Source organism: Homo sapiens, chromosome 7 (genome assembly GCF_000001405.40).
Source record: "Homo sapiens chromosome 7, GRCh38.p14 Primary Assembly".
Lineage (NCBI taxonomy): Eukaryota > Metazoa > Chordata > Mammalia > Primates > Hominidae > Homo > Homo sapiens.
Genome location: NC_000007.14, coordinates 50,935,029 through 50,942,527, shown reverse-complemented (window position 1 = coordinate 50,942,527; position 7,499 = coordinate 50,935,029). Strand labels below are relative to the sequence as shown.

Here is a 7,499-nt window from a genome sequence, read left to right as displayed (position 1 = left end):
TTAGATAGTTCAGATTGTAGATATAAAATTTAAAATTCTGTATTTTTACTTATTTTTATCTAACAGCTTTTGAGTTACTAGATTTCAATGTCATTGTGTTGGGTGATTAAAGTTTTATATATTTGGAGGAATATCACTTTCATCAATAGAAAATATACCTCTTTGATCCATGTAATGTTTTTTGCCTAGATTCTACTTTTATGGTTATATAACTTTAAGCTTCATTTTCTAAAACATTTGCTTTTATATCTTTGCCCATCCCCATTTTTAACCTTTCTGTGTAATTTAATTTTGATATTTGTCTTATAAAGAGCACATCATTAGACTGTTTTCACACCACATTTGTGTCTCCCTTTGTTTTATGTTTACTTCTAATATTTTCACAAACCTAAGACCACACATTTTGTTCCACATCAAGAATTGATCATAGTTGATTATTTCCTCTACTCTCCAAGAAACATAAGAATCTTATCACACTTTTCCCTTTTCCCACCCCACTTAGCTTGGGAGTATTGCTGAAATTGTCTACAATTTTAGTGCTCATGTTTTTCTACATTATGCCTTTTTCCACCTAAGAAAAATTTCTTAATAATTTTTCATCAGTGAGTGTCATGTATTGCCAAATACAGATACATACCGCTCTGGCTAGCCTGAGCCTAAGCTCCCAGGGAGCTCCCATTGCATTCGGGAAAGCTGGAGAATAAGGTTTGGGGTTCCCCTCACTTCCAAACATAATTTCCTAACTGCTGTTTCTTCCACAGTCAAATCCTCATCAGGAGAACCTGACTGGCCAATCTCCTGTCACGTGACCATACCCTGGCTGGCATTCTAGGATTTTTCCTGCATTAGATGATGGGGAAGGTGTGAGTGTAGATGGGACCTCTTCTCCAGTCTCACTGAGAAGGGGAGGTCCCACTGCCCTCCCCAAGATCACCAGGGTGGCCCACACCCCAGCCCAGCCACTCTTATCCCATCCCCCTGCGCTGTGTTCTTTGTAGAACTCACCACCCCTGAAATGCCTCACGGGAGTGTTTGTTCAGGAGACTGTCTTGCTCATTGTTGTCTTCCTGGTGCCTGACCCAGAATAAGCACACAATGGTAGCTGCCGAATAAATCAGAGTAGGCGAGTCAACAGCCAATCAGTACCCTCACTTGCCAGTCACCTGGCCAAGCATCTAGATCCACCTATGGCCCATTTAAAAACCATCGACATCCTTGCTCTGCAGAAGGGGAGGCTGCACCTTGCCGAAGCCGGCTGTGTGGAACAGCCCCCAAGACTCAGCCTCTCCTCTATCGCACCAGCTATCTCCTGTGCACAGGAGGCTTGAACATCATCTCTCTGCTTTCCTGGTGGAGGCACCAGGGCCCAGAACCATGCCACCATATCTGTGGATGAAGAGAGGAAACGGTGGGGAGGTGGGGGGTCCCTGGCATCGTGGTCAGCACATCTTTCTGAGGCCTGACACTGCTAGGCTTCACAGTGAGTCCAGAAAGAAGAATGTGGCAGGCCCATAACTAAAGTCAAAGCAAAAGGGCCCAGACTCTAGGTGCAGCAGATCCAGAAGGCACAGCCACGTGCCTCCCTCTCTGTCCCCTACTTGAAGACAGGGAGCTGCAGTCCCCATAATTCAAACCTTCCCCTTGCGTGTGCCAGAGTTCACAGCTGCAAAACACGTGCCCACATTCTTGACTCCAAAGATAAAATAACAGCCGAACGTTTTGTGTCTTTGCTATTTCAAAAGCCACAAATGCCTTGAAGGCTTCTCTTTGTCAGGGGAGGAAGCAGGCATCCCTGAACTGGTTACTAATCTGGAGGCACACTGTCCATAAAACAACAAGAGGAGAGAGGCCAAAGAATCCTGAAATAAGAAGGGGTGGCGATTGGCAGGAATCAGCAGGTTTCTCAGAGACAAAATTCCTCAACATAGAGCCCTGCTGAAGCCTGCGGGGAGCACAGGGGCTCCAAGCCCCTCCCACTCTCGCACCCCTTCAGCATCCAGGGTGCCTAATGAGGCCTCTCTTTCCAACTGCTGCTCCTAACCCCCACCTGTCTGCCCATGGACCTCCTCTGTGCACCCACCTGCTCCTGACCAAATTTACACTTCCACTAGGAAGAGAGAGGGGTCTCAGAGAGCCTAGACATGCGATTGCTCTCTCTCTCTGCAAACCTCACATATAGAAATAGAAGTGAGGCAGGACCAAAAGATGGAGAAATTTGGAACTCCCACTCAGCCATCCTTACTATGCCATTCCCTGGGACCAAATTCTGCAGCAAATCTAAATTGATGGTGGGCAAATTCAGGGAGATTTTTAAAAATGTTTTCTTTAAAAGGGGCAAGTTGGCCGGGTGCAGTGGCTCACACCTGTAATCGCAGCACTTTGGGAGGCCGAGGCGGGCAGATCACGAGGTCAGGAGATCGAGACCATCCTGGCTAACACAGTGAAACCCTGTCTCTACTAAAAATACAACAAAAAAAAAAATTAGCTGGGCATGGTGGTGGGCACCTGAAGTCCCAGCTACTCAGGAGGCTGAGGCAGAAGAATGGAGTGAACCCAGGAGGCAGAGCTTGCAGTGAGCCGAGATCATGCCACTGCACTCCAGCCTGGACAACAGAGTGAGAACCTGTGTCAAAAAAAAAAAATGACAAGTTTACCAAGTATTATTAGATAGATTCCTGAATAATGGTATGATTTACATGCAATTTTTTTGCTAATGTATTCTATAAAATGGACAATATCTATGAGACATTTTTGGGCCAAGAGCCTCCTTGGACTCTCCTGGGACTCCACCCATTGTTTCTTTTTGTTTTGTTTTGTTTTGTTTTGTTTGAGATGGAGACTCGCTCTGTCGCCAGGTTGGAGTGCAGTGGCGTGATCTCGGCTCACTGCAACCTCCACCTCCCGGGTTCAAGTGATTCTCCTGCCTCAGCCTCCTGAGTAGCTGGGACTACAGGTACATGCCACCACACTCAACTAATTTTTGTATTTTTAGTAGAGACAGGGTTTCACCATGTTGGCCAGGATGGTCTCAATCTCTTGACCTCACGATCCGCCCACCTTGGCCTCCCAAAGTGCTGGGATTACAGGCATGAGCCAGCATGCCTGGCCTCCTCCCATTCTTAATTCTGCCTTTGCTCTCTCAGGGTTTCCATCAGAGAGCACAGGTTGGCAGCTCTTTTCCCTGAAGGCTCCTGGGCCAGCCCACCTCACTCCAAAACTGCTAAACAAGGGCTCCTCTCAGCCTTGACCACATCCAGAGTCAGACGTGGCTCAGTGCTGCTCCACAGCTGCTAGCCTCCAGCTGACATGTCCCCACTCAGAGTCGAATTTCAATTCTGTGGTCGTGGAAAACAGCTGGTCTGCAGGACTCAGCAGACTGGCAGCTGGAGAAACTATTTTCAATTGCACATAGCACTAATGCCTTAAAACACCTAATTCTTATGATATGAACAAATGAGCACTCCAAGAAATGAGATGACACCACGCCCTCACATCCCTGGGACAGTGCCCTGCCAACCTCGGTTGGGCAGGGGCGCCGCCGAGGTGGGGCCATGGCTGGAAATAGAATTTCAAATTATGGTGGGCACTGCTATAAAGGGGGATAAAGACAGGGCTTGTTTTTGTAAATATTGAAGCTCAAAGAAGTGTTTTATAAAAATTAAAACTTACCTTATCTTTTAAAACAACTAATTTGTGTTTTATTCTAAAATACATAAAAGGATAAAAATACAAATCAGTAAAGAGAGAGACTAGAACAAAGCCCAGCCCTGAAACCTTCCAGTCACCTCTAAATCCCAGCAGGCAACAGGCAGATGCAGCTTTTAAAAACCACAACCTTTGGGATTTTAATTATATCCAATAGAATATGCTGAACCATCTTCAGCATCCTTCATTATTTATAATAGCAAAAAAAAAGCATTCAAAATCAAATTGCACCCTGACATTCTGTAATTTGTACTTGCATCTATCTCTAAAGTAGATTTATATTAACAATCACTACCAAACCCTGGCCTGAGCTGTGCCGTGAATCTTAAGGCAAATGTGATGGAATGCCTGTATTATCAAAACCTGGCTTTGAAGCCTACAATTGAATGTGAACTAGAAACTTTTGGCAGTTGTTAGAGACAAGATGCATAAAATCAGATATTCCTGTCAAACCATGATAATGCTCCCTAATAATTAGAAAAGGAGATGAGAACGCCTAAATTTTTCAGGTTACTGAGCATGTGTGAGAGGATGAAGACAGCATCAAAATTAAAGCGGCTACGTGTAGCTGGGAAATGTCTAATTATACCCTTGCTATCTAGCACATTGGAAAAGCCTCTGAACCCAAGTATTTCTAACCATTAAACAATGGTAGAGGAGGCTTTTTGCCAGAGCTAAAGTAAGGTGGCCACTGAGCCTGGGCCCCAGGTATCCCTGAAAACCCTGGGCTTCATCTGCTCACTTTAGCCACAAGTAGATGGACAAGAAGGGCCTGTGTCCCTGACCTGTCCACCACTGCAACCTGAAGGTGAGGACATGATCATTCCAGTTTGTCATGGGGCTCAGTGTTGACACGTGGTAAGTGAAAAGATGAACATAAGGGTTGGATGAAAGTCTGGGACATGTGGTTTTAGATCCACTTAGATCACTGTTGAGTACAGGGACCTGCCACGAGTCATTACTGAAACACTGAAGTGTGGCCTCACTGATATGAAATGGAGAGCTGGAGCTGTGAGATACTGGAAGTTGCATGGGTTACTTCCAGCCTCATTGTTCATGTTGAACAAGTACCTGCAATGGACTACACCAGCTGACAGCACACAGGATGCAGGCACTGTTCTCAACCCTTAGACACTTATTTGATACCCACAGCACACAAACAGATAGATACTCTGATGATCCCCCTTTTATAGATGAGGAAACAAAGCACAGAGGGATTAAGTAATTTACCCAAGTTACACAGCTATTAAATAGCACTGCTGGAATTTGAGCCAGCAGCCTGTGAACTTAGTGATGGCACCGTACTGCAAGTTTGCTGCTTCACAATCATTCAGGGGTGAGATTGTCACTGAGCATCCTGTATGTGCAATGTACTCTGTAAGGCCGTGGTTACGCTAGTGAACAAAACACACACATTCTTTCCCTCATGGAGCTTCCAGTCTAGCAAATGTGCAACACTAAACCTGGCAGCATCAAAAATTAATGAATAAATAAGTTAGAAGGCAATTATAGCTCCTTAAGAGGATCTTATGGCCAGGACTGAGTTTTTAGAAAAGATTTCTTGAACAAATGACACATAAGGTGAAACCTGACCCTTGTTAGGCAGGTAGAGAAGTATAGGAGGGGTGTTCTGGACACAGGAGAAGCACTTGTGAGACACTGAAGTGGGAGGCTTTAATGCCTCTGAAGGCTCTGTGAGATAGCCGTAATGACTAAAGAGCAATGAACAGGGAGAAGGCGACCCTTTGAACAAATTTCAGACTGCTTTTCTGTAGAAGTGGGAATGTTCATGACATGCAGGACCCTGTGGGCCATGTCTTAATCTCAAGAACAAAGAAGAAAGCTTCAGGAGGTTCTGAACAAGGATGTCAACCATGAAACATGAAAGAGTTTGAGACCCTAGAAATCTGCACAATGTTCCCATTATTTTGCAGATGAGAAAACTGAGGCTTCCAGAAGATATGGGAAACTCCATGGTAATTCTCATTCAGCTGGTCAAGAGCTGCCTGGATCACCCTTCAACACTGGCAGTGGATACTGGTCATTTGCCTCCCCAGCATGTCTTCCCCTTCTAATCATAATATTTTAATTTTAATTTTGAGTTCCTCTCCTGCTCCACTTCCATCCCCGCACTCTAGAAAGTCCACACTAGGAGTGCAGCATGTGACCAACCCTAAGTTAATCAAAGTATTGCAGTCCTGTAGCACGGTGATGGCTTTAGAGATAAGTCCATGACCTGAGCCTACGCAATCAGAGTGAACCTTAGAATTATTTCTTAAATCCCAAGTTAAAGATGCAGTCTAACTCTGACAGTAAATTTAAACCTAGAAGGATATGACCCTAGAGCAGATTTTCTTTCTTAAGTCACTTGGGAACACATTAATGGCAGGTTTTTACGAAATCGGAATCATGTTAACAAATAGTATAAGCACAAACATAGTATGATTTCCATTCCATCACCTGAGGAATACCTGTTTACCCTCCCATGATAAACAACTAGAAAACTGGACAAAATGTATGAAACAATTTTGTGGATATTGATCAATAAGCAGAACCTATGATAGCTGGGAGGAGAAGAAGGAAGGTAAATTCTTATAATAACCTTGGTTTTTCTGCATGGTGGATATTTTCAGACTGTGGCACAGGGAGGAAAATAAAACAGCTTGGCAATCTTGCTGAGTAGAAGAAACAGATTAAAGTTCAGGGAAGTCAAAGTAGCTAGAATTTTCAGAGCAAAGTACCAGGAAGAGGGGAGCTAAACAGACAGAGTCCACTTTTGTGGAGGTCAAACATCCCCCTAATTTGTTGTATCAATAAAAATTCAGGCACACATAAATGAAATTTCTGGAGGCCAGGCAAAGAAAAACAACTGAGGAAACAACTAGGGAGCTACAAGCCAGAAGATTTCCAGAACTCATACAGTGCTCAGTTCCCATCAGCCAGAGTAGCCAGATCTTGAGAAATATATGGACATTCAGGAGAGACTCTGAAAGGTTCCTGACTTAAAAGTGGTGGCAGAATTCAGTTAAAAAATTACTGGACATATGAAGTAGCAAAAGTACGTGTACTAGAATCAGTCAGTAGAAACAGAACCAGAAATAACCAAAAAATATGAAATTAGCAAACAAAAACCCTAAAACAGCTATTATAATTTTTAAAAATATACTCAAAGATTTAAAGGAAAACATGAACATAATTAGGAAAGAAATAGAAGATATAAGAAAGAACCAAATGGAACAGCTAAAAGGAAAAAACTACAAAATATGGAGTACAAAAATCACTAAGATTTTAAAAATTAAAAGCAAATTAAACCCTAAAGAAACAAAGACCTATCAAAAGTTACTTTTTGTGGGGTGGAAGTTTTTAAAATAACCTTTACCTACGTGGGCTGTTTTGGAAAATAAAGAAAAGACCACACTCAGCAGAGGGCTATACCCCTTAGTATAGTTCACCACTATTTTGCAGCTTATATTACATAAGTGAAAAAGAAAAAAAAGGAAATAAAGATCAATGAGCCTGAAGTCATAGCAATAGAAAGGATTGAAACTAAGGCAGAGAGTAAAAAGGAAAAAACAGGGAAGACAGAGGAGGAGGAGGGGAAGAAGGAGAAGAAAAGCTTCTGTGGCCTGTGGAACAACAGCAAATGTTCTAACAGCTGTGCTGTTGGAGTTCTAGAAACTGAGAAGAGAAAGAAAGAAACATAAAAATTAGTGAAAGAAATCATGGCCAAAACATTACCAAATTTGATGAAAACTATCCACCATAGATCCAAGAAGTTCTATCAACCCAAAGCT

General features: G+C 43.1%; 1 non-coding gene across 1 annotated transcript; it reads left to right on the top strand.

Annotated features, from left to right (window-relative positions):
- The first annotated feature begins 7,034 nt into the window (after nucleotides 1-7,034).
- LOC124900241 (small nucleolar RNA SNORA4) lies at nucleotides 7,035-7,178 on the top strand. Its single transcript, XR_007060656.1, has one exon. It is a non-coding gene; the product is annotated as a small nucleolar RNA SNORA4 (small nucleolar RNA).
- Nucleotides 7,179-7,499: the final 321 nt, after the last annotated feature.